The 25,567-nt window shown below is 35.7% G+C and overlaps 1 protein-coding gene across 3 annotated transcripts in view, besides 10 other annotated features; it reads right to left on the bottom strand.

The window, feature by feature from the left end:
* RFX6 (regulatory factor X6) overlaps positions 1-19,618 on the bottom strand; it is a 54,920-nt gene extending 35,302 nt beyond the window's left edge. For 2 of the 3 annotated variants that reach the window (NM_173560.4, XM_011535589.2), the window contains exons 1-6: positions 19,362-19,618; positions 18,908-19,064; positions 16,193-16,316; positions 14,432-14,493; positions 2,796-2,873; positions 1,653-1,680 (exon numbers count right to left, since the gene is read on the bottom strand). In NM_173560.4, coding sequence (NP_775831.2) covers positions 1,653-1,680; positions 2,796-2,873; positions 14,432-14,493; positions 16,193-16,316; positions 18,908-19,064; positions 19,362-19,584 — 672 coding nt within the window. In that variant the 5' untranslated portion in view covers positions 19,585-19,618. The other variant, XM_017010477.2, reaches the window with a different exon arrangement.
* Positions 7,520-8,421: an enhancer, noted in NCBI's record as "fragment used in the 900 bp pGL3 reporter construct". NCBI's record gives its function as "activates an RFX6 promoter with higher activity for the rs339331 T allele by reporter assays in VCaP prostate cancer cells {active_cell/tissue: VCaP}" and the evidence as "EXISTENCE:reporter gene assay evidence [ECO:0000049][PMID:24390282]".
* Positions 7,668-8,271: an enhancer, noted in NCBI's record as "fragment used in the 600 bp pGL3 reporter construct". NCBI's record gives its function as "activates an RFX6 or SV40 promoter with higher activity for the rs339331 T allele by reporter assays in LNCaP and VCaP prostate cancer cells {active_cell/tissue: LNCaP | VCaP}" and the evidence as "EXISTENCE:reporter gene assay evidence [ECO:0000049][PMID:24390282]".
* Positions 7,958-7,981: a protein binding site, noted in NCBI's record as "HOXB13snpC/T oligo used in EMSAs". NCBI's record gives its function as "binds HOXB13 with higher affinity for the rs339331 T allele in COS-1 kidney fibroblasts and 22Rv1, LNCaP and VCaP prostate cancer cells {active_cell/tissue: 22Rv1 | COS-1 | LNCaP | VCaP}" and the evidence as "EXISTENCE:chromatin immunoprecipitation evidence [ECO:0000226][PMID:24390282, PMID:26398868]" and "EXISTENCE:protein binding evidence [ECO:0000024][PMID:24390282, PMID:26398868]".
* Positions 7,962-7,975: a transcriptional cis regulatory region, noted in NCBI's record as "range of bases deleted from various clones in the variable length NHEJ-induced deleted region from TALEN-mediated genome editing". NCBI's record gives its function as "positively regulates RFX6 gene expression in 22Rv1 and LNCaP prostate cancer cells {active_cell/tissue: 22Rv1 | LNCaP}" and the evidence as "EXISTENCE:mutant phenotype evidence [ECO:0000015][PMID:26398868]".
* Positions 7,966-7,974: a transcriptional cis regulatory region, noted in NCBI's record as "HOXB13 binding site bases deleted in the 600 bp enhancer Mut construct". NCBI's record gives its function as "important for activity of the RFX6 600 bp allelic enhancer in VCaP prostate cancer cells {active_cell/tissue: VCaP}" and the evidence as "EXISTENCE:reporter gene assay evidence [ECO:0000049][PMID:24390282]".
* Position 7,971: a transcriptional cis regulatory region, noted in NCBI's record as "rs339331 prostate cancer risk SNP that exhibits higher RFX6 enhancer activity and increased HOXB13 binding for the T allele than for the C allele". NCBI's record gives its function as "positively regulates RFX6 gene expression with skewed activity for the T allele in 22Rv1, LNCaP and VCaP prostate cancer cells {active_cell/tissue: 22Rv1 | LNCaP | VCaP}" and the evidence as "EXISTENCE:mutant phenotype evidence [ECO:0000015][PMID:26398868]", "EXISTENCE:natural variation mutant evidence [ECO:0001103][PMID:24390282, PMID:26398868]" and "EXISTENCE:reporter gene assay evidence [ECO:0000049][PMID:24390282]".
* Positions 18,649-19,607: an enhancer, noted in NCBI's record as "NANOG-H3K4me1 hESC enhancer chr6:117198416-117199374 (GRCh37/hg19 assembly coordinates)". NCBI's record gives its function as "activates a minimal SCP1, AML or CMV promoter by ChIP-STARR-seq in naive H9 embryonic stem cells {active_cell/tissue: H9 hESC(naive)}" and the evidence as "EXISTENCE:reporter gene assay evidence [ECO:0000049][PMID:30033119]".
* Positions 19,353-20,145: a promoter, noted in NCBI's record as "fragment used in RFX6 promoter constructs". NCBI's record gives its function as "drives transcription of RFX6 by reporter assays in VCaP prostate cancer cells {active_cell/tissue: VCaP}" and the evidence as "EXISTENCE:reporter gene assay evidence [ECO:0000049][PMID:24390282]".
* Positions 19,353-20,567: a biological region, named in NCBI's record as "RFX6 promoter region". NCBI's record gives its function as "regulatory_interactions: LOC128667231 | RFX6".
* Positions 19,608-20,567: an enhancer, noted in NCBI's record as "H3K4me1 hESC enhancer chr6:117197456-117198415 (GRCh37/hg19 assembly coordinates)". NCBI's record gives its function as "activates a minimal SCP1, AML or CMV promoter by ChIP-STARR-seq in primed H9 embryonic stem cells {active_cell/tissue: H9 hESC(primed)}" and the evidence as "EXISTENCE:reporter gene assay evidence [ECO:0000049][PMID:30033119]".

Genomic DNA, 25,567 nt, shown 5'->3' with positions numbered 1-25,567 from the left:
CAGCCTCATTGTTCTTAGCTGTAAATATGCTGACACCATACCTCACAGTTATGAATGTTCAAATGAACTGACGTATATGAAGATTTGCACTGAAAGTCATGTCTGAGCACACCAACGATGGTTGGTCGCCCTAAATACAATTTTTTTTTTTTGAGATAGGGTCTCACACTGTTGCCTAGGCTAGAATACAGTGGCACAATCATGGCTCACTGCAACCTCCGAGCCTCTAGGGCTCAAGTGATTCTGCTGCCTCAGCCTCCTTGAGTAGCTGGGATTACAGGCATACATCACCATGCCCAAATAATTTTTTGTATTTTTCAGCCTCCCAAAGAAAATAATTTTTAAAAATTTCAATTGTGTTATGAAAATATTTTATTATCATTTTAAACTTATTTAGAGTAGTTCTGAGCCTTTAGAAAGCTCTTAGTTGTGTTAATTTCTATAATCATCAAAGTAATGGTACACTATTATTGCCTTCAGGTATCCACAGAAAATGGTTAGGCTATAGAGCTTAATCAGAATATTTTAATTTTAGTAACAAAATCTACAACAGTATTTGCAGTGTCCTCTTCTAAGGAGGAAAAAGTAGACTTGAGAAATATTTTTCTTTTATTCCATGAAACAAGGCTTGCCATTTATCGGCAGAGGGCTTGCTAGTACCACCAGCCTCATCAAACTAGTAGAAAGAACACCTGAGAGAAATAACGTAAATTCCCTATTGACATAAACTTTACTCAACCAAAGTGTATCTCTAAGTCAATATTTTTGCAGTTTCACAATTGTTTATCTAATAAAGAGCTATTATTTCATTGATAAAAAGAGCAATCTGGAGGATTTATATTATGTAATTAGCCATTAACTGTATTAAAAGCACTGGTGGAAAGAAATTGGCCATTTAGTGGGTTGGGGGCCTTATATTATTTCTTAAAATATGCTTGCATCATTTCACCAAACTAATGGAGTTACACTTTACCTCAGGTCCAGATTTACTACACAACACATTGTCATGTGCCCTTAGCTTGGCAGCACCTCTTCTTAATGATTAGTTAACTTGAGAATAATGAAGGCCTTATCATGTGTCTAATTACCCATGCAGTCCCTAATGGTAGTCTAACTCATTTAGATAAAGTCTGTTCTTGAAGGAGGGGGTGGAGAGGAAGCCTAGGGAGAAAGATTGTATACGTGTGTGTGTGTGTGTGTGTGTGTGTGTGTGTACACAAAGTAGTAAAACAAACCATAGTGTAGCATAGCATTTGGGCTCCTTGATAACTAATAAATGTTTTGTCTAAATGGGTGCAGTCCAAAGACCAATTCTTTCCATATCCTCAGCTTAAGCTTTTTGTTTATATTTAAGTGGAAACTTTTTGGATAAATGATAGTGTTTTTTTTACAGTCTTGTAAGTATCTGATATTAGGTAAAGATAACTAAAAATGTATCTCTCCTAGGTTAACTGAAAGTTGTTTGGTAGATCCATGCAAAGATTCATTTGTTGTCCCAAATCTAATTGAGCTGTATCTGAAGTCCTTCGTCAAGGAATTCCTAATAAATAACATTTATTTCTACATTTGCCAAAGGGAATAATTAACATGTATTGCTCAGCTTGTAAGACATATTATAGCAGATGTAAAATAGAGATGAAAATAATTCTTACCTCATTCTTTAGCTTGCTTCCAGAAAACCTTAAAAAATTAGTACATTTTCCATTAGTTCAAACAAAATTACAGCTATAGCATTCAATGATATGTAGACAACCTAAAGAAGCAGTAATTTCATACCATGATTAGAGAAATAAGCTGGAGAAATTTGCTTTTTTTAAAGAAATCAAGCATCTTTCTCAACTTACTAAAACAAAATAAGTTCTTTAGAAAAAAAGTAAATGAATAATATTTTTAAAAGCCAGGTGAGATTTGAGACAAGTAAAGGACACTCACTATTAAACATTTGTGTGTGTTCCAGCCTATATTTACATTTTATAGTGGGGTGGTGGCTAGTAAGCAGCCTTATGTTCCTTGTAATATCTAAATTTATCTTAGTATGACTCAGTGACTAAACTTTTTTTTTCCACAAGATACTTTACTTTTAAAAATAATTTCTTCTTTTAAGAGCTAAGAGCAATTCTTGGTAAATCGTACCATAAAGCAATCTCAGATACACATCTAATTATTCAGAGTTTCAGTTTAAAAAATGAATGATGTGTTATCACTGGTTTCATTAGATGTAACCTCACTTACTAATATCCCCATGATAGTTAACAGTGGCTTAGAGCAATGTGCTGTTTATTTTCATTCATGTTTTACCTTTCATAGAAACCCAAACAGGTCAGTAATTTCACCCTCATAAGGTAAGAGGATGGTCAAAGTATATGTGATTAGAGATTATTACAATAAACTTTCTATCTTGGTAAGGTACTAGTCAAGCACATAGATCTTTAAAACAGGTTGTCTCAGAAAAAAGTTACATTTACATTTACTGCCTTTGTTTTATTGAATCCAACCTGAAAATAGACTTTGCTTTATTAGTAAATACTAATTTAAAAGCAATTCTGCTTCCTTGATTTCTCCTCTTCATCTCTCTGGAACACTAGTTCACAATTAATTTCTCACTAATTATGACAAGTTATATAATTTTCCCAGTAATCTAGATTATATAATCATCCATACAAAGCGGACATTAAGGTCTGATGCTTAAATGGAAACATCTTGATAAGCAAAATTAAGAAATCATTTTATTCAATAGGTATCATGCATATTTAAAGAAACACAGAGAATTTGTCTTGAAGATGGTGTAACTCTACCTTGTCAAGCCCTTTCCAGAATAAACGGAGTGGTAATATGCACTGCTCTCTTTGATGCCAATCCCATAGTAATGATACCTAGAGCAAAGACAGGAACCAGCTCTGTGTTAGTGAAGGAGATTTTTGGAGGGGAAAAAGAGACTAAGGTATAACTGACATAACCATGAATAAGAACTGCAAACCCTGATGACCTTTCTTTTCTGACATTTTTCAGGTAGGCAGCATCTTAATGTGCTATATTCCTCTTTGATAGTCACTACTCCTACTTATTGTTGTTATTTCTGACTCTAGGCTTGAAAAATGAGAATTACCTACTGACAATCCTCTTACATACCCTAAAACATTAGGTTCCAAATCCCAATAATGTATAAATGTAGGCTTTGGCTCTAAGTATATGTACTGTATGTATTTACAAATTGGGTGATTCAACATGAATTTAGTCAATTGGACAAGAAAATGCTATGGTTTTCTTTACCATATGTGTAGGGAAGACCAATCTCACACATGGGAATATGTATGAAACATGTGACCCTTTACACATTATTTTCCTCACGAGGAATCAAAAGTCCAATTCACTACTATTTTCACTTCAAAATTTCATGCAACAATGGGGAGAAGGCTATGTTGCAAATCAATGAAAATGACATGTGGAAAGTAACAGTGCTGTAGATAATTTGTTTTAAATATGCCAGTGGATCATGAGACACAATACAAGTATAGCAACTCACTGATTCTCAAATTATGGCTTATTCTCCTAAGTCACAAACTCTTGACATATTACACACCCATATACAAACACTACAAATATTATACACATGCTAGTGGAATAGTGGGCATTTAGTGAGGATAGTCAGAGTCCTCTAGCATCTGCTTTCTGTGGTCAGTCTCCACTCTCCACCATCCATCCCCCATAAAGCACCACTACCTACTGTTTACCAACTCCTTCAATTTGCATTCATCTAGGATCAGGAAAGAAATGTAAAAAAGAGAATGAGGGGATTTCCAGTGGACATCAGCCTAATTATATTTTAAAACGTTGTTTCCGAGCACCACCATCTGAGTTTAAAGTGGATCCTTTAAACTGAGGAGCCACCATCTGAATCCTCAGTTCATCCATCTGGTTGAATGGATGAATCTTCCGTTCATCCATCAAGGGCCCTATCTCTGGCCTCAGCAATAAAGAACTACTTGGCCAAGAAGTTCCACTCCTAAGCATTTTCAGGATCCAGGACGGGAGTACAAATGGAAGCCTACATACCATATGAATAGCTATTTGAAAACTATAAATCGAGCTAATGAACAGCTAACAAAAATATTCCTGTCCTCTTACATTGACAAGTTACCTCCATAATGGTCTAGTAGGTAAATATGAATTTAGCATTCTTAGACTCCTGGAGTTCCATATGGGAACATGGTGGTGGGGAAAGACCCACTTTCACCCCATTTTTCAGCTCTGGCTCCTTTGTTCACTGTGAGGGAACTGGACTGCACATCCAAGATCCAGCTGCATCTGCATCACCTACTAACAGCTACCCCCTGACCACACCTCAGTCTAGGGTTATGAACACTAGTGAAGCAATGTGGCCTTCTGAGGATGGACTTGGGACATGCCCAATATAGGCCCAAGAAGTGGGCCTGGGGAGTTGAACAGGGAATTCCAGGGCCCCAGGGACCCAGAAGTGGGATGTGGTTTTTGGATGGACACATTCACTCAGGCTATGGACTCCCTGCCTCATGGGAGGACAGCAGCTGGATGACAGCCAGAATGAGCCCCCCAAAGTGGGAGGCCCAGAAATGGCTTCTCTCTTCTCAGGTGCTAAGGGCAGGACTGTGGCAGCAAACTTGCCTCTACTGATTCAAGGTCATTTGAGATGAAGGAAAAAGGATTTTTAAACATCAAAACAACAACAGCAGCAACAAATATTATAACTAATGTTTTCAGAAAGAGTTGTCATATTTGGGAAACAATAATATATGGTGGTCAAGGTAAATGAAGATATTTTATGATTCTGGAAGACTGGGAAGATGTTTTCAAGTCCTCAATTTTGGTAAATGTACAATTATAGTCTGTTAACCTGAAAAAAGGACCATCATAACTGCTCATTTTTACAGTACAGAAAAAGAAATCCTATGGTAGATTAAAAAAAGAACCTCTAAGGTATAATGGAACAAAGGGAGAAATGAAGGAAATGGAAAACTTAATGGAAACTTCAAAATACTAAACTGAGTATGTCTCTAATTAGAAACGAAAAGAAAGAAGCTTACTTAAGTCATAAAGACTTTACCAAAGGAGCTATATTAATAGATATAGGTAAGAGAAATATTTAAAACTGTGAAAACATTAGCAGATTTAGATGATAGTCACATATATTAGTAGAATTAGTTAATAAGCCAGAGTCTGAAATAATTACTAATATTTCATTTGTTAGATTTTAGAACTAAGATACCAAAAGAAATGTTTACATATTAGAAGAAATAAATCAAATAATGTTTGAAAACAGAGATCCATTAGAATGGAAAGATGTTGTAATTTCATGTTCTTTTTGCAAAGCTTGCTGTTTGTTCTATAAGCTTTATAGTTTAAATACTACATTTTAGCCACTTGCTAAAGAAATACATGTTAAACGTTGGCTTAAAAATTGATAAACTTCTTTTATTATAACTTCAATTTTCTTGTTTCTCAACTCTAATCCTCTTTTCAGCGTGGTAAAATGGTTTGCCATGCAGATTGAGAACAAACTACACTGTCTTCACAGGTGGTACACAAAAATCACAAGACAAGTCAAAGGGATGGCCATTAGTTCAAAAAATATTAGAGCAGATACTGTGCCCTGACCACTGTGCTAGTTGTCAGTACAATGATGAACAAAACAGACATTGAAAATCTGATCAGGAATATCCATATTTCCAAATTCCTCCATAGTCTATGGCCTTCTGATGCCTGCTGTCATGGAAAAGTGACTACACTGACCAGCACTGAGGTACATTTTACTTGCAGTTTTTAAAACCATTTGATATTCACATTTTAAAAAAATTGCTACATTTTAAGACTAAATAAATCCTAACTAATACAGATGTGTAACTTTTTTCTTACGACTTTTAAGGATAGAATGTTTTATTATGCAATTTATTTGTTTCTTATTGTTATAAATGATTATATTATTTGGCCCCCTTATTCCTGTCCCCAGTCATTAGGACAGAATATCTTTACAAATAGAAATATTTAATGCCTCTACCTACATCCAAAATACAAAAGTAACTATTTTATATATACTCAAAAAACCGTGCTTTTTAATTAATGTATGTATTTTATGTATAAGTCAAATGTAAATAACACTATAAACCCATACACAAACTGACACCTGAAGAAAATGACTTGGTCAGCTACACTCAGCTCTACAAGAGAGAAATGGCATGTACTTTTCTTATTAGCAATGCCTTAGATTTTAGATATGTTGATGTAGCTGAGCATATTCTATCATACAATCTTATATACATGCCAGGAGATAGAGAACCAGTGAAAGAGTACACTCTTTTTTTTCCTACATGTATTCAGTGCTCACTGTGTGCCATGTGCTGAGGATTGAAAGAGAGGTAGAGGAGAGTCTCTGGAGGAGTTAACAGTCTTGTGAGGGAACAAATAATGCAAACAGAGAATTGTAATACCAAATTAATATTTGCTACCATTGAAGCAGGTGATAGTGAGTCATGATAGAAATAATTACCATTTTTGAGCATCTATTACATGCAAAGAATTGTATGTGTACATGATCTCAAATTTTCACAGCAGCCGGCAAGTAGAGCATTATCCCCATTCCAAAACAGACATTCAAAAATTATGTGATTTGTTTAAAAATGTTATGGGTTTGAAGGCAAAATTTAAACCCATGATTCCACAAACCATATTGCCTCCACACTCAAGATGCAAAAGATATCTCTCTTTTGTATTGCAATTTTATTTACAATTAGAAAGTTCTAGTGAAATACAGTTCAAATATGTCTGCATTCACACACACACACTTTATTCTTGTTTGGCAGGAGTAATGTAAGCATAGATAACTAACATGAATTATTAAGACCCACACCACTGATCTGGATGTTTCATATTTGACATTTCATGTATAAACTCGCAGAATGTAAGCTCCCTGTAATAGGAAATTAATAAACATTTATTAGATAAATGAATGAATAACTTGAAAAATTAAAAATAACAATGTGTCACAAAACCATAAAAACATTTGCCAATTAAGAGATTTCATATAATATCATATACTTAAACATATCACCACAATTTAAAATTTGGTAGAAATTAAAGAATCTCTTATCTAACATGATGTAAGGAAGTCTACTAACTCCTTTAACCCTATCACAGGTACTGTAGAAACTTGACTATTACTATCAGGATGACTTGCTCTTCATAAATAGCTTGCCATAGCCACGGTGGTACCTTTGGTTTTTTGAACTCTCCATTGGGAATACCCTTCTTCCATCAGGTCCTCATTTCTTAATCATAGTTTAAGGCATATTTTAACACATGAAGCTTTGCCTGATATCTCAGGCAAAACTCCTGAACTCCCTGAACTCCTCCCTTGGTCATTTACCCTATACAGCTCTGTCCTTGTATCATTGGCATTTGTATACATGGCTTACCTCCCATACTAAACCCTAAGATTTCGAGGATGAGAATTTTATCTTTCCCTTCACTGTATTCCTCATTAAAAATTAGTACGAAGAAAAATCCTCATACATTTACTGGTTAAATCAATGTGTTCTTCTAGGAATTTAGAAAACAATAAAACAAATTTTCTTAAAGCTGATAGTTTTCAATAACCACCTTCTGACATTGCATTTCCAGGTCATCAGTAAAACACTGAGATTGAACAAAAGTTGCATACGTAAACAATATATATAAAGGGCATGAAATTGGTGTACTTTGGTGGAAAGACTGTTGCTAGCAATACAAACCTCAGTATTTTGCAATGACCACTGTAATGCTTTAGCACATTTCATACCCAGTTTCTTCTGGAGCCAACAAAATAACCTTTCCCCTTTAATCTTCCTTTTAGTCTAACTAGGTACATGTTGTCATCTGAGTGATTTAGAGTCTCTGAGAACAGAGAAGAGATAATAAATGAGCAGCTTTCTGTCCTCCTAGTCACTAAAGATAAACCTCATAAAACTGGGGAGAGAGAGTTCATGCAAAGTGTACATAAATTTTTCATCTCACTTGCAATATTTTATAGCATTATTTTGTGGTTAATAGATGACCCTAAAATAAATCTTGCTAGGGAGTATTTACCATGCATACTGTAATATAACAAGAAGATATGCTGGTGTATGTTAAATAAAAAGTGATGTTTGTCTCACTGTGGAAGAAATAGTTGTTTAAATTTATATAACACTACCTGATGCTTATCCTGTAGGTTACTCTGAATAAAGATTCCCAAACATTTCACAGTTCCTTCTCCCTATATGATTATTATCCATTTCTATTAAAGAAGATATATGATAAATGCTCGAAAATCCTGGGGATGATTAGCTAATCTCTTCAAGAAAATGTGTCATGAAAGCAGCTTCTATGATTATCTAAGAAAATTGTGTTCATTTATTAGCAACTTTCCTCAATCTTATGTCAAATGACAGATCTGATTTAAAATTTATGAAAAAAGAATAATTAATGCTTGTAACCACATTTTAATGTGAACATGTTATAAAATATAACAGACTTTTAATATGAAAAATGAAATTATTGCTGTTCTTTTTTTACTACTAAAATATTTACTTTGTGCCTAATACTTTTCTTCATTTGCTGAACAATTTGTACTTGCATCTATATTTCTTCTTTTCCATTTCAGTCTTTATATAGAATTCCTGAAACATATGTTCCCACTGAGCTAGTAGCCCTGATGTTAGTTTACACTACACAAATGATAACTGATAAGGAAATGATGGGATTAAGCTGTTCAGGGACTTGCAATAACTTGCTATGATAAGAGCAGCTGCCGTATCAGTTTTATTAACCCACTAAATCACTACTAATAAATAAGATAATAGCTTTTGTCCATCATGTCTGAAAACCAAGATTTGGCTGATCAAAGTCTACAAAAAATTAAAATGTAACTTAAAATCAAACAGTCTACCATGTGTGTAAAATCTATTTGTGGGCTCAATTATGTTCTCCTTTACTTAGCCAAGCCATTCTGAGCAAGGGTGGGATACAAGGTTTTTGCTTATCATTGTACCCGAGGGCCTAGTTAGCAACGGGACCCTCAGTAAAATGCTTATTAAATAATTAAGATGAGTAGCGAAAGTTCTTTGCCAGCAGGTACCCTGTTTTACAATTCTTTGCATCTCAAAAACTCTTTAGCATCACGCTTTGTACATCCATGTCAGTAGGAATGGACTGATTATTCTCAATGTATTCATAACCATAAAATATGCAAGAATGATTCTTCATTATTATCCTTATAGAACTTTGTTTCATTTTTTATTTATTCAAAACCTCAATTAAAAAATATCACAGATAATAAAACCAGGTGTATACTTTTGGAATTGGTAGTAAAACTAAAGGGAAGAAAAGAAGAAACATGAAAGTAAAGTCAATTTTTATCTTGGTATTGGGAATGTACAGTGTCTGCCGCTGGGGTTGCTGGTTTTCTTGGCTGGCAGGGGATGGTAAGCGTGAAGGAACTGGATAGAGAGCTGAGCTGCTAATGGACCTGCAAATTGACTGGCTTTGTCCCCAAAGCACACTTGTTAGGTGCCCTAGAGTGACGCTTCCTGACCCCTCATGTTCATCTTTAGAGATTTTTTTTTTCCATAACCATCAGCAGCAGTGGCCTTTGATGTGGAATGTTGAACTTGCCACTGAAAACAAATTACTCCATTTTTAATTGTTCCTAATTTTGACAGTGGATGATATCTGGCCCTACACAGTGATCCTGTCTGTTTAGATTTTTTTGTTTTATTATTTTTTTATTTTTGTTTTGTTTTGTTATGTTTTGAGATGGAGTCTCGCTCGGTCGCCAGGCTGGAGTGCAGTGGTGCGATCTCAGCTCACTGCAACCTCCGCCTCTCAGGTTCAAGTGATTCTCCTGCCTCAGCTTCCTGAGTAGCTGGGACTACAGGTGCGCACCACCACGCCCAGCTAATTTTTGTATTTTTAGTAAAGACAGGGTTTCACCATGTTAGCCAGGATGGTCTCAATCTCTTGACCTCCTGATCCTCCTGTCTCAGCCTCCCAAAGTGCTGGGATTACAGGTGTGAGCCACCACATCCAGCCTATTTTTTTTTGTTTTAATATATCTGTTTTAAATATTTTATCTCTTCCATTTAATTGAATAAATTTTGGGCTCATTTTATACAGTCAAACTTTTTCATCTTTCACTTTTCAGTGAGGGAAAGAAGTAGCACATGCACAAATGTGAGAGCTGTGAAGACATTACTGTAATTAACAGCCAGTTATTTCAAAACTTAGGAAAATAGAACTTGAAAATAGACACCACATTCATTCATGATTTTTAGGCCCTACTAATCATCTCTTTGTCACATAGATTAGTGTTTTCCAAACTTTGGGTTTTATATAGGGACCAGTAAAATTTAGAGAGTGACATTGCTTCATGAACCTCAAAGACATCTAAGAACAATTTTTAAAAAGAGGGTGCTATCTCATGCCCAGAGTACAGGAGAACCTTTTGAGTCAATCATAATCTAAAATAAATTCTGATAGTCCCCAGTGAGATGACTGGACATACTCTAGCTATCCTATAATAATTTGGCCAAACTGAGAACTCATTTTTTAAGTAATCATCATCAGAACAGTTTCACAATGTTTGTATGTATTAGTATGCAATCCAAGGAAGTTAAAATAAATATCACATTTATTTATATTTTTTAAATAATTCAACAAATATTTAGTAATACTATGCTAAAAGTACTGTATTAAACACTACAATAACAATAAAATGTTTTGCAAAATTACTAGTAAAATTGGGAGAAATTATGATTCCCTGATTTTCTAAGGTATACTTACTTTATATTTCTGTCTTTCATTCAGTTGTTCATATTTCCATAGAAACATAAAAATATTTTTATAAAATGTAAGTTTATGAAATAATAGCCATTAGAAATGTTTGCAAAGATAATATATAACAGAGACATGTTTAGGACTAAAATTAAAAGGCAGAAAATAAAATTGTGCTACAAATTTGCTGTTAATATAAAACACAAATACCTCTAAATTAAATGCCTTACAATTGTGGCATGGTAAAGTGTTGTTTGTTCTCTGAAGAAGAATCTAATATGTTAATAAAGTTTAAGAACTGTTAGATCTGTTAAAAAAAAACTTAATAAAACTTATATGTCAAAAATCAAACATTCAATTGAATAATTATTTGTTGATACGATTGATATTGGAAAAAAAGTAGTAGGCTTCCCTACTTTTACTAGCAGATAAAACATAAACTTTAGAGTCAGATATACTTTGATTCAAATGCCAGCATTGTTATTATGTATTATCTATGTGGCCTTGGGCAAGCCAATAACCTTTGAAATGCAATTTCCTCATTTGTAATACAGTAATTCCTATCTTCTATCATTATTGCAAGGATTAGAGATGAGTGCATGCATCTGTGTGTGTGTGTAATACTCAGTAAATAACTTCTAATTGTAGTGCAGATATTTTATATTGAGTCATTAATTTTTTATTATTAAGGATAGTGCGGTTGAAAGCATATTCACTACTATATTCATTCCTATACTTTATCTCATTTAACTCTCACAACAATCCTATAAGATATTGTATACCCACTTTACTGGTGAAAAGCTGAATAACCTTACAATAAATCACTAGCTGGAAAGCTGGTGTCACACAGCTATACATGGAAACATCAGATTCATGTTTAAAGTTGTCCAACTTTAAAGCCTATGTCCCTAACCATTAGGCTATACTGCCTTTTGATATTCTATCTTCCAAGATAAAAGCTAAGGATATTTCTTGGAAATAAAGGCAGAAACATACCTAGCTAAGAATAATTATGTCAAAAAAATTACTATTTACAAGATATACAAACTACATTTTGCTATATTTTTACCATATGTAGTTTAAATATGGAAAATTAATTTTTCTCTATGATATAAACATATCAAAAAAGTCACGTCACAAATATCAAATGGCATATCAGCACAGCAGAAAAAAATTCAAATTGTTAATGCCTTGCTGTTGGGCACATCTATGGCTCTTGGATTCAAATAAATTGCCCGAAGTCACCCCATGTTGTTACATCAACCTAAGTACTAGAGCCCCACTGTGACACAATGGACAGGGTTAATGATTCATCCCTAATCCTAAAGGCTCCTTCAAAGATTAATTGACTTTCCCTGCAGCCTGCCAGCCCACCCTCTTATAGATCCTGTCAAGAGGGTTTCTCTTCATTGCTCGGCCTCTTTTCCCCCTATCTATTTACTTTAAACACTATCTGATCTTTCCTCAACCAATACAATTCAGTAGGAATCAAATTCAGTAGAAATCAGTCAGTTAAACTGATCAAACTTTGAAATAAAGTTGACTTGGTTAGAAGGAAGGGACCCATTTTGCCTTTTTGAATCTGGCACTTTATTTATTCTTTCCAGGCCACAATAATGTTAACATTAATTGCAATCAATTAAATAAGTATTAATTGATAATCTATTATATATCGACCAACAGAAAGAATATAAAAGTGAATGAGACAAAGTTTCTGTCCTCAAAATATGTATTATCTGTTTAGAGGAGGAGATAAGTTAATTTCACATTAAGATAGGTACCAGCAAACTGCCACAGGGTGCAGAGAAGGGACCTACAATAAATCAATGGACTAAAAAAAGATCTAAAGGAAGAAGTTCAAGAGACATTCTTTCAAATGGGTAAAATTTCAACATACATATATGGGAAAAGGCATTCTCCAGGGGAAGACAGCATAAACTTAAACAGAAGACTGGCAGTTGGAGTGAATCAAAGGTTACTGGGATAATTATTTGGTGAGCACATAGACTACATGCTAGAAAGTAAGAAATAGGTGACATAGTAAAATGAACTTGGACTAAATCATGATGGACCTTGAATGTCAAGTTGAGGAAAGTTTGTTGTTAATAGTAGAAATTATGAGCCAGTGGAGGTTTTGAACATGGAAGAGATATGATTGAATCTCAACTTTAAAAGGTCAGTTTGGAAAAATTGCATGAATGGACAAGAAAGACAGAGTCAAGGCCAGGCTATGAAAGTAGCAATGAGGAGAGTCATATTCAAAAGAATTCAAAAAGTAGGACCTATGTTTTTGCAAGTGTCTAAAGCTGAGCTATCCAATAAAGCAATAAAGCCACTGGCCATATGTGGGGGTAAGCACAGGAAATGTGGCTAGTCTAAACTGAGATGTGATGTAAGTGTAAAATACACACTAGATTTCAAAAACGTAGTATGAAAAGAAGAATGTAAAATATCCGATTAATAATTTTTATATTGATTCCATAGTGAGATAATAATGTTTTGGATAAATTGGATTACATAAAACATTAAAATTAATTTCGCTTGTTCCTTTTTACTTTTTAAACGTGGCTTCCAGAAATTTTTGAATTAAATATGTGGCCACATTATACTTTCATTGATCAGTGCTGGATGTGATGTCAGGGCAGAAGGAGGCAGTGGACAAGCCAGAAAAGGAGTGGTAGAAGAGGGAAGAGGGCCTAGATAGTACTATGACAGAGAAGCTATAGAGGTAGTTTTCTGTATTTATTTTAAGAGGGCATTATCAGTTGGTTCAAATGCTAAGCAGGAGCCAAGGAAGATGAGTAACAGTAAAAACCAGCCATTGGATTTTTGCCCAGGTAGGAAATGGACTAGGTCAGAGGGATGTGATCAGTGGTAAGGGAAGCAACAGCTCAAAGGGGGAAATACTAGAGCAATCATGAAGGTTGGAACTTTTTTCTTTCTCAGCATAAAGGAGATCTGGACATGCTCATAGGCAGAAGGAAAGGAGAAACTGAAAACACAGTACGCATAGAAAATAGCTGTTGAATGAGAAACTGTACCTGGGAGTTCTCCAGAGACTGCCACAACAGAGAGGAAAATTTAAAGACATAAAGAGGGGGAATGTGTGACAGCTTAGTTTATGTTTATATTTACCTTAAGAGATGACCAAACAGGTCATCTGTGCATGTCATTTGTCTTAAAGAGAAGAGAAGGAGATATCAAGAAATTATTGTCTCAGAAAGAAAACTAGAGGAAGAACCTGAAGCATGCTAAGGCACTTCCTTCCTACTCAAAGCTCTTTACCCCCTGGTTTGGGCCTTGCTCTTTGGGAGCGTTGCATTCCTCCTCATAACACTGGTGCCTTCAGTAACAGCTTTAAGATTATGAAAATGACTCATTTAAATTATTTCAGCAGAAATAATAATACATTATTATTTTCAAATGTAAAATTTGCTTTTTAAACATTATTCTAAAATCTTTTTTTTTTTTTCAGTTCTCACAGTTGATAAAAGTCTGCTTCATCAAGAGAATACCTGGTTCTCTTTGTACTGACAAAGACAATACTTATTTTACATCTGTGTCAATCTTCATGCACAAGAGCAGAACCTGAATATGTTCACTGGTATCTTACTTTGAATGGCCTCTTGTTCCAAGCCGCCTTGTTGTTAGGAGGGGAAACTTCTGGCGAATTGTCTAAAAAGAAAGATGATTACTTTAGGCGTTAGAAAGTATATGGTCCTAATGCAAGCCACTCATAGCCAATTACTTGGGGAAAGTAAATGTTGAACTCTGAATGAACTGTGAGTGAATACTTAGTCTGGAAAAAGTAATAACTTACACATATTGATAAGCAATACATCAGCAGAGGCAGGGAGGTACTTTTTTGATTGAAGTGCTCTACTGACCTTGTCTTGATTTCTAAGGCAGATCATACCAATATCTGCTTTTGCTTGATGGTACTACCAAAGCAATTATTACTTTATTTATGTATGGAGTGAGAAGATTTGGGTCTCTTCATATAATTCCATACAGAGATTTACCCACAATTAAAAATCTATTCCCAACCCCAAAGGACATATAAAACTTTCTCTGCCTTACTGTATCTCCATTATAATGTTATAAATTTTTTGTTTTGTATGTTCCTTTCTCTAAAGTTGCTAAAATTAGGATCTGATTAAACATTTTTTAAAAAGTCTTCTACATAAAACAATTTTAACCTCAATCTTTGAAGATCCATACATGAACTTTAAAGAGCTCCATGGCAAACTATGTATGTATTAATTTCTTGGAGGCTGGCTCTACAGTTTTACCAGGTTTTCAAGGTGCTTCATGACTGCCAAACAGTTAAGAATTATTCCCATAAGGTAGACTCACAAAATGGTAATGTTAATATGGATATTAGAAGTTGTCTTATCCAAACTCCTCATTTAATAGAATGAGTAAACAGATTTTTAAAGAGATTAAGTGCTTTTCAGAAGGTCTCACAATAAATTAGTCCAGTCTAGGCTAGAACCCAGGTTACCTGATTACAATGTATAATATCACACTCTCTCTGTAAATAGATAGGTTTTTGAAATAAATAACATTATTTTTTAAATGAGAAGCTGGACTGTAGTATTCATTATTTTCTGGACAATGAGTCCCTCTACAGGTTAGAATCTGGATTTCAATTTGTGTAAGATACAATATTTGAGACCCAAGCTTCCTAAAGTTTTTCTGGGATATCCTAGGTTCTCAAACACAGCATGACATGAATCTTAAAGAACAAGGCTTTCTTAAGACATTCATATTGATTCTCAAAGTGATGTCTCTCTCTCTATATATAAGCATAATAATGTCAGTTATATAGATTCCCATCCTAACCACACAGGTTGGGTAGAAAGAAATATTTTTAAATGAGAGAATTCTAACCCATCCCATCATAAAATCTTGGGATTTGGAATGTAAACATAGAGTGAAATGGAGAATTAGGAGAAATTTTAATACATTTTAAAACCTATTAAAAACTCATATATTTGGACTAGGTAAATAGTATGGATAACCACTAACCACTAATTGCATTAGCAAGAGACTTGTCACCTCCACTTAATTTTGCTTCTTACCACAGGCCATACTATACACTTTAATGCATCCCTCTTTGAAGGCAAATGCTACTGCTTAAACAAAGCTTGCTTTAAATTCACATTAGATCTTCTAATAGTTAGGGTTCTAATATTCAAAATCAAGTTATAAACATATAGCAATTCCAAACAGAGTCCTTAAGACAATTTATGCCTGCAAAACAAATGTCTCAATATTCTCTAAGAGAACTTGCACAGATGAATTCATTTTCATGCTATCTGCCTGACATGACTTTAGTTATAAGTCACTATAGCCAATACGTGTCATTTACCTTTCCAAAGGTGGCCGCACAGGCTGGCTCTAATTTCTCTTTCCTACAGAAATCTAAGTAGTGTGCATAAAGAATGCACCGTGGTAAGCAAACTCCTTCACATACAATGTAATTCTCTTCAAGCCTAAGAAAAAGGAACAAAAATTAGGTCAAATATTTTATTTCCTTTTCCTTCAACTTTCTCATTGACTTATTACCCATTTTGAATATGGACTCTATAAATGAGGTAATGAGTAGACATAAGTAGACTTCGTTTATTCTGGATATTTTTTAAAAATCAAATTATAAGGATTAATGTTAAAAGTACAAAACCCCAGTGAAAAATCTGCTAGTACAGTTAAAATATCATGGCTAACATAAAACCATGCCTGGTCCACATCACAAATATTAGGTCTTCTATATAAACCTCATGGTTCATCATGATTTGCTCTGTGACATATAAATATGAATGGTGAAATTGAAGATGATGGGTATTTTTTAAAACATTCTTAGTACTAAAGGGCTGTCAAGCTTCAGGTTGGCAAATGCTTACATTCTCTCACTTTCATTCAAAACCTATTTCTCAGCCCTGAATAATTAGGGAAGGACAATGATGCATTTATTTGCAAAACACATGAGGATAAACTCATTTTACTTAAGTCTGAAATGACACTGATATATTTCTATTCCTATACTTTTTACTACTGTCATCAGTACTATAATTATCTAAAACATCCTATACACTTAAAAGATAATGTAATTCTCTATAGATATCTCCAAACATAACATATATACCTTCAACTTTATATTATAAAAATAACTATATAACCTTTGAAAATTTGAAGTAATTCCATTTAATTTGTAACTAAGCATAACTTATATAAATGTAATAAATACATATTTGTGTTACAACTTTCTAAACAGCAATGTAGAAATTAAACTTTTAGATTCCAATCCCAGTTTTCCTAACAGTTCAGTAGGTGATTTTGACTAAAATTTACTTATACCAATTTTATGTATAGTAAGATAATATTTATTATAATGCAGAAACGATGCAATATAGAGTCTGCAGATTAAAATTGGATGAAACCCTTCAAAGATTTGATTTAAAATATCCTAATGTGTACAAGATAAAGGCTAAAGAAAGTATTCCCTGAACAGGTAAAATATCACTCATTTTTTTAATGAAGAACAAAAAAAGACCAAAAACTAAGATCTAGTGTTTCAAAATATGAAATCAATATATGTACATAAAATCAGTTGACATACTAGTTGATAGTGAAAACTGGAATTAATCAGCCAGCTTTTTCACTTTGATTTTCAGTTCTAGTTTATCTATTTAAAAATTATATTTTAATTACATGTACACAATGTTCACATTTCATCTTGCTATTTTGATACTGTTGTAGTCGGCATTGTCTTTGTCTTCAAAATATTAAATCATCCTAGACATAAGTATGATGTTCATTTGGGGTACAAGTTTTTTCTTTGATCTTAACTTATATATATTTATGTATACATTTATTCATAAAAGAAACATATATTTCCACACACTCAATTTAAATGGAAAAAATGGAGTAATCATTCGAAACAGCTCAATAATATATCTGAAATCAAAACACTTTTGCCCCAGTTATCCTGCTGCAAATAGTTGTATCCTAAATATCCCAGATATTTAACTCAATTACTTAACTGCTCTAGTATATTCTTAACTAGTAACCACGACATCAACTTCAATAGTTAAACTCCAACTTTAGATGAATATTTGGCTTATATTTCAAATATTTTGAAAGGGTTCAAGCATATAATCACAAAAAACTACTATATGTAAATTGTAATTTAATATTTAAATAAATAATAAAAATAAAATTTACTAGTTCTTTATCTTGTATTTTTCTAAGGCTCCTTAGATCATACTTTACACAAAATTAGGTTATGTAACTAATCAGTAAATATATAGTCCTTTTTATTAGTTTGTTTTTTACTTGGAATTTGTGAGGAAATTTATGCTCCTATTTCTTCCCACTACGTAGGAAAGTTTAATATAATGCTTTTACTTTAGAGCCGTCTTTCTTTTAGATAGATATTACAAAATGTTCACTCTATGTGGAAATCCTACTGATAAATTCTTGGTTTTAAAAGATTTTCCACAAAATCCAATTTGTAATATTTTATTATTATAAATCATATATGATAGATGGTATAAAAATAGTTGAACTTCTATTTAAGTTAGTATAGATATCTTAACCGATTTTTTCTATGTCTTCTACCTCAAACACAGTTCATCTTATGGAGTATACACTATTTTTAATTTGCCCTCTTTTGAATAAAGGCAGTGTTAAGATCCTTCCTCATTTTAAGTTGTTTTTAAGAATCATATTTTATAATCTCAAAAACTATCAAACAACAAATATGTAAGGACTGAACTGATTGCATATTAAGCCAGTAAGTCATAAAAACGTTCATTAATGCTTACATTTGAAGAAAATATGGTTTTAGTCAATAAGGAACAACGTAATGTGGTTTTCATTTGTATTGCAAATCCTTCACCAGTACTTGTATAAGTCTCTATACTAAAAATTCAGTGAAAAAAATTCTGGGTTAAATTCTAATTGGTTTTTTAAACTTTCCCAAAAAGTTTGAGGAAGAAGTAAATTGTGAAAATCAAAGATCCTGAAGACGCTGGCTGTTAAAACGTCAACAGGTGCTTCAGTGTACCCTGCGGGCGAGTCTCACCACTGCAGCGTGAGCTGTGTCTGCTTCTTTTTATCCTTCACAATCTGCGTGATGGTTTTCTTCTGAGACAGGTATTGATCCGCTGCTTTGGTTTTGCTGTCGTGGTTGTCGGCGTCCTCTTCTTCAGAGGAAAAGTTACCATTGTTTAAGTGCATTTCTGATTGCCAGTTGAAGGGATGATAAAGAAAAATAGAATATAAAATCAACTAAGTCGCCTTTAAGTGTACCTTAACTTCAAAGGAGTAGCCTACTGGGGTGGGGGCGGAGGGGAGGAAAGGGGGGCTATGCAAAATGTCAGGTCTCTACTTGACATTTTACTGAGGAAATACAAAGATTTGGACAGAACATTCTATATCTGCCTTATGTTTGTTCGGGATGCATTATTATTATTGGGTGCCCTTCTTAGAATACGTCCCCGTCCCCTTCCCAGCTCCGGATGCGGCAGAGCACTCACCTGATTTCACTGCCCCCGGCAGCTCCGGGTCTTCGCCTTTCTCCCCGCCGCCCTGCTCGCCCCCGGGCTGCCCTTCGGCCGCCAGGTACACTGTTTCTTCCGGATAGACTAGCAAGCCCTTGCCCAGGAGCTGCACACAGCAGTCTTCCTGGATCCCCGGGGACAGTTGGGGCGCAGGCTGCGCCTGCAGGAAGGTGTCTTCCAGCTCCGGGACCTTGGCCATCCTCCTGGCCGCCGGACACCTCCGCGCGCGCCGCTCGGCCGGTTCCCCAGCGGAGCCCCAGCCCGGGGCGGGGCGGGGCGGGGCTGGGACCCGGGGCCGCAGGGGCGGGGAAGGAGGCCGCAGGCTCCGGGGTGCCCTGGCTCAGCGCAGAAAGGACGCCGCGCACAGGTACAGCCCAGGCCGCCCGGGAGCCGCGGTGGGCCGCGGTGGGACTGCGTTTCTCCACCTGTCTGCGGTCCCGGCAGATGCTCCCGCGAAACTCACTTTCTCACCTGCGCCTGTCACGCCCTGGGCGCCCACAGCTTCCCCCTCCTTCCCGTTCTCTCAACCTGCGCTGGCCGGAGGACCGTTTTCACACTCAGAGCTCCCAGAAAGATCCCGGGAAGGCTCACTGTCTTCTGCAGGGAAAGTGCAGCTGTAACTGGCCCCATCCCTACTTTCAGGTACACTATTGGGGCACCTGGCCGCGCGGCGTGGACTCTGCACGCCTGGGACAGGGAAAAAGTACACCGGAGTACCGCTCAGTCTTTGCACAGCAGGGACCGGGCTTTTTATTCTGGGAACCTTCCGAGGGATTGGCGAGGGCTCTTCTCAGCATTTGAGGGAAGATCCCATCTCGTCACACACTGCTTTGCTCGAGGGTGCACAGTGGCCCGCACTCCTGGGTCTCCCAGCCCTGGAGGATCTGGCCTCAACCCCGAGAAAAGATTCTTTCTCTCCCATTTACCATTATTTTGTAATTTAAACGCGTCCCTGACGATTACTCATCTCATACCTAGCAGTACGGCAACGGACGTTTGCTTAAGTGAAAAATGAAATTGCGACCATCTTCCAACCCAAAATGGCAATCTCATGGGGGCAAACTATAATCTGTGCTCTCTTTAGACGGGAGCGGTCAGTGGAGACTTGGGATTGGTGTTACCTGACTGCCAGATCATCTTCCTTTCCTTCCACCTTCTGTTCTTTTGACAAATACGCCCAGTGTCTTTATATGTCCAGTGCTCTCCAACAAAAGCAAGGATTCTGCTTTGGATCACATTGCCTCATCACAACCTACAGCATGTCATCTTCTCTTGCAGCATTAGAGAGAGAAATCAGCCTTCGACTTTGACAATATTAAACTACATTACATTGAAATTTAACATAGAACAAACAAAATGGGATCCAAGGTGGTGGGTGGCTGAAGGGTGAATTATGGGAAGGAGCGATACAGTCTAAGTAATACAGCAAAAGCAGCTAAAATTATGAGTGGATTTGAATCTCCCCATTTTTAGTACCACTTGTTGGGAAAGGCAGCAACTCTTTGTCAAAGGTTTTCACCTTATCTGGTACCTCCAGCAGCTAGATCCAGGATGGGGCTACCCACCCCTCCACACTCCTAAAGTGGGTATACCCCTCCAGTGCTTCAGGACAACTTTGCCAGTTTTCTCTACCCAGTCCTCCGAAAGCCTCAGAGCCTGCTCAGACCAGAGGGCTTAGCTGTATGTACAGTACTAAAGTTTAGAATGTTGCCTCTTTACAGAGATACCCTCAGATTCATTCTGTAAAGGGAGTCCCAGTGATTAACTGTGTCTACTTATATGAAATGATAAGAAGAAAAATGTTCAGGAAAATTACTGGAATTTCTTTTTTAAAATACTAACCATATGATAATGTGTTTGTGTGTGTGTGTGTGTGTGTGTGTGTGTAAGTCATACAGACACTACGTGAAAATCTGGCAATTATCCAATTGAACAGATCATTGGAAACAAAAACCACGATCAGTTAAGGCCCTAAGTGAACTTTTTGCCTTAATTTTAAGTAAATCTGTTTGCCTAACAAAATAATGTGAAAGTTATTTGTGCTTCTATTCAAAAATAGGAAGTCTAAATAGGCCTATAGCAAGTAAATAAATTTAATCAGTAATAAAAAAACTTCCAACATAAAGAAAACACATGATGAGATAGCTTCATGAGTGATTTATACCAAACGTTTAAAGAAGAATAAATGCCAGTTCTTCTCAAACGTATGGTATGTGGTGAAAGCAGAGGAGGGGAAAAGCTGTCAATATTCTAAATTTGCTATTTGTAATTATTATAACTAATCTGAGCTCATGAGACTAGTGTTTTAGAAAAGCAGCTCTAGGCAGGAAAATAGGTAAAAATGGAGAATGATCTTTTAAAATAGTGATTTGTAAGATGTTTATTTTTTATATACTCTTTAAGAAATTTTTGTAAGCTATCAACTGTCTCCCAGGGGGAAAAATGCCCATGAATACGCTAATGTAAAAATTTCTGCTTACAGTTTAACAGACTGTAAGTAAAAAAACCTGAAAAAGTTTATTCTGTTTTAAGGAAAAAAATAAAAACACATGATGTCTGAAAGAAGATTCTTTGAAGTTCCCAAATTACAGGGTCTTCATGACTGGAGGCACAAGAGTAAAGGGGAAAGGAAAAGGAATTTGGAGTCAGGTACATTTGCACTCATTCTCTTTGTGCTTCTGGGCATTTAACCTTTCTGTGCCTGTTTCCTTCTCTCAAAATTGGAAAAAAATAGTACATATCTATAGTAGATTTTGTGGGTGTTCTGCTCAGATCCCCTTGGATTTCTTCCACATTTTCTGAGCACCCCTCACCCTGTTTTTGCCTCCTTTGGTTTCCAATACCAGCCCCAAGACCACCACCTGAGAGCTCCTGGGACTTTTCTTTGGAGGAACTGCCCTTAGCTACCAGACCACCATTGCCCATAGGCAGATAGAGCCTAGGTGCCCCTGAGTAGCACTTAGCCAATGACTGATGGTTGAGAACCTTGATCTCATGTTGGATAAATCTGAGGTACAACTTACAACCAGAGCTCCTCTATGGGATCGGACTGAAACCATCTCCCACTAGACCATTCCTAAAATCCCATCTGTGTTGGCTTCTTGCCCTCCTCTGTCCTGCTACCCCTACTCCCTTTCCTGTTTCTCCTGGCAACACTTTCTTTAAATTGCTTTTGTAGAAAAATACTTGACTCAAGTCCTGCTGACATAAGACATCACATTATAGAGTTGATATAAGCATCAAATGAAACATTATAAAGAAGAAACTAGTCCAGTGCCTGAAACAGAGTAAGCCTTCAATAAAACATATCTAATCTTTTTATTCTGAAACTTTAGATCTCTTTTAGTTCACATAAGCAAGGAAAAAAAATTTCTCTCTTTCACTGCAGAAGAATTTTGAGGAACATCTCCTTGCCTAGATTATTTCTGGGCATAGTATTATCTGGAGTGATCATATACTATGAAATTTTCTTCTGTGAAAGTTCATGTCTCTCCTAATTTGTTTTTCTGTTCACCAAAATTATTTTATAAATACGGCAAGTACTTTGCTTTCTGTTAATGAATTTCATTTTGTTTCTTTCAAATAAAAGTAAAGTGAGGTTATGAACCTAACAGCAGAGCCCCAAAATACACGAAGCAATAAATACCATTTTTTGATAAAGGTACTAACACCATTCAGTGGAAAAAGATATATAGCCTTTTCAATTATATAACCACATCTAAAAGAATGAGTTTGGAACCCTACTTCACACTATATACAAAAATAAAAATGGTTCAAAGACCTAAATATAAGAGCTAAAACTGTACAACTCTTGGACTAAAACCTTGCCTTAAGTCTTTATCACCTGGGATTAGGCAAAGGTTTATTGAATGTGATACAAAAAGTACAAGCAATAAAAGAAAAAAGGTAGATAAACTGAACTCCACCAAAATGCGTGCATCAAAAAACACTATCAAGAAAATGAAAAGACAACACACAATGGACAAATATTTTAAAATCGTCCATCAGAATATATAAAGAACTCTTACAACTCAACAATCAAAAGACAATAGCCCAATTTAAAAACATGTAAAAGATTTAAATAGACATTTCTCCAGATAAGATATATAAATGGCTAATAAGCACATAAAATGCTCAATATCATTTTCATTAGGAAAATGCAAATCAAAACCACAATAAGGTATCACTTCACACCCACTATAATTTTTTAAAAATGATAATGAGGTTGTGGAGAAATTGGGACCTTCATACATTGCTGGTAGGAATGTAAAATGATACCACCACTGTGGAAAATAGTTTCACAGTTCCTCAAAAAGTTAAACATATGATCCAGTAATTCTGTTCCTAGGTAGATACTCAAGAGAATTGAAACATAAATTCATACACAAAGCTTGTGTAAAAATGTTTATAGCAACATTATGCATAAAAGTTAAAAAGTCAACACAACCAAAATGTTCATCAGCTGTTCTATACATAAACGCAATGTGGTATATCCATACAAGGGAATATTATGCAGTCATTAAAAAACAGTGAAGCTGAGGCTGACGGATTGCTTGAGCTCAGGAGTTTGGGACCAGCCCGGGCAACATGTCAAAACCCCATCTCTACTGAAAAATACAAAAATTAGCTGGGCATGGTGGTGCATGTCTGTAATCCCAGCTACTCAGGTGGCTGAGCTGAGATCGCAGCCACTGCACTCTAGCCTGGGCAACAGAGCAAGATTTTGTTTCAAAAAAATAAAACGAAACAAAACAGTGAAGCAATGATACATGCTTCAATATGTATGAACCTTAAAAACATCATGTCAAGTGAAATAAGCCAGATATAAAAGGCTACATATTGTGTGATCCATTTACATGTAATGTCCAGGATAAGCACATCCATAGAGACAGAAAGTAGATTAATGGGTTTGCCAGGGGTTAGAAGTAGGGGAAATGAGATGTGACTCCCTAATGTGTATGGGGTTTCTTTTTTGGATGACAAAAATGTTTTGGATAGTGATGATGGTTGTACAATATTATGACTGTACTAGAAGCCACTGAGCTGTACACTTCAAGACGGTTATAATGATGACTTCTGTGTGAATTTTGCCTCAATAAAGTAAATTTTTTTTAAATAAGAAAGGCCAGATTTTTTTTGCAATGGAGTCTTGCTCTGCTGCCCAAGCTGGAGTGCAGTGGTGAGATCTCGGCTCACTGCAACCTCTGCTTCCCGGGTTCAAGCAATTATCCTGCTTCAGCCTCCTGAGTAGCTGAGACTACAGGCACACACTACTGCACCCAGCTAATTTTGTATTTTTAGTAGAGATGGGGTTTCACCATGTTGGCCAGGCTGGTCTTGACCTCCTGACCTCAAGTTATCCACCCCCACTCGGCCTCCCAAAGTGCTGGGATTACAGGTGTGGGCCACTGCACCCAACCAGATTATTTTTAAAAATTAAGAATCTGCTTACCAGGTAAGAATTACTACTTAGTCCAAAACTTTGCTGTGGAAGAAATTTATAAAATTTCGACAAATTTTCCAGGCTTGTTCTTAAAATATGAACTATCAGTTTTCCTGTTATCATATAAACATCAACAGATTAGGTCTGCATTCCTTCTTCAAGTCTAATTTCCTCCTCCTTCAATCTTGGTTGTGCCATATGTTTTTCCTTATTGCATGTAGGATAATAGAGAAGTAACGGGGGAAATGGAAAATGAAGAGGAGAGATGAAGAAAAGGAAGGATCAATAAATGGCTGAGAGGATTGAGGGAGTCAATTAAAAAAGAGAGAAAGGTAAATAAAATATATTCAGTTGGTTATGATTTAGGAGACCGAGTTGATGGGTCCAGTTTCTGTGTGGGCAGAACCATTCTTTTTTCCATAACTGCATACCAATGTAAAAGACAAATTAATTTGGGGAAAATCCAGGAAAGGAATCCCAGTTGGTCAGGGATCGGAGTCAGAAAGGTAGTATGTGGTTGGAAATGGGGAGAGTGACAGGTACTAATGTTATTGAAAGGAAGAATCAGTATAGCCTGGCGACAAATGGGGAGGTCTTGCATGGAAAGAAAAAGTTATTTCCTAGATTGCAATCTTTAGGAAGTATCAAGAAAAATAAAAAGTACTTTCTATGTAATTAATTTCTCAGTTGGTTGTTTTGACTTTATACCAGAACTCACTATCAGCACTGACAATCACAA

Source organism: Homo sapiens, chromosome 6 (genome assembly GCF_000001405.40).
Source record: "Homo sapiens chromosome 6, GRCh38.p14 Primary Assembly".
Taxonomy (NCBI): domain Eukaryota; kingdom Metazoa; phylum Chordata; class Mammalia; order Primates; family Hominidae; genus Homo; species Homo sapiens.
Note: the sequence above shows the minus strand (reverse complement) of the source record. Positions and strands in the feature narration are given on the sequence as shown.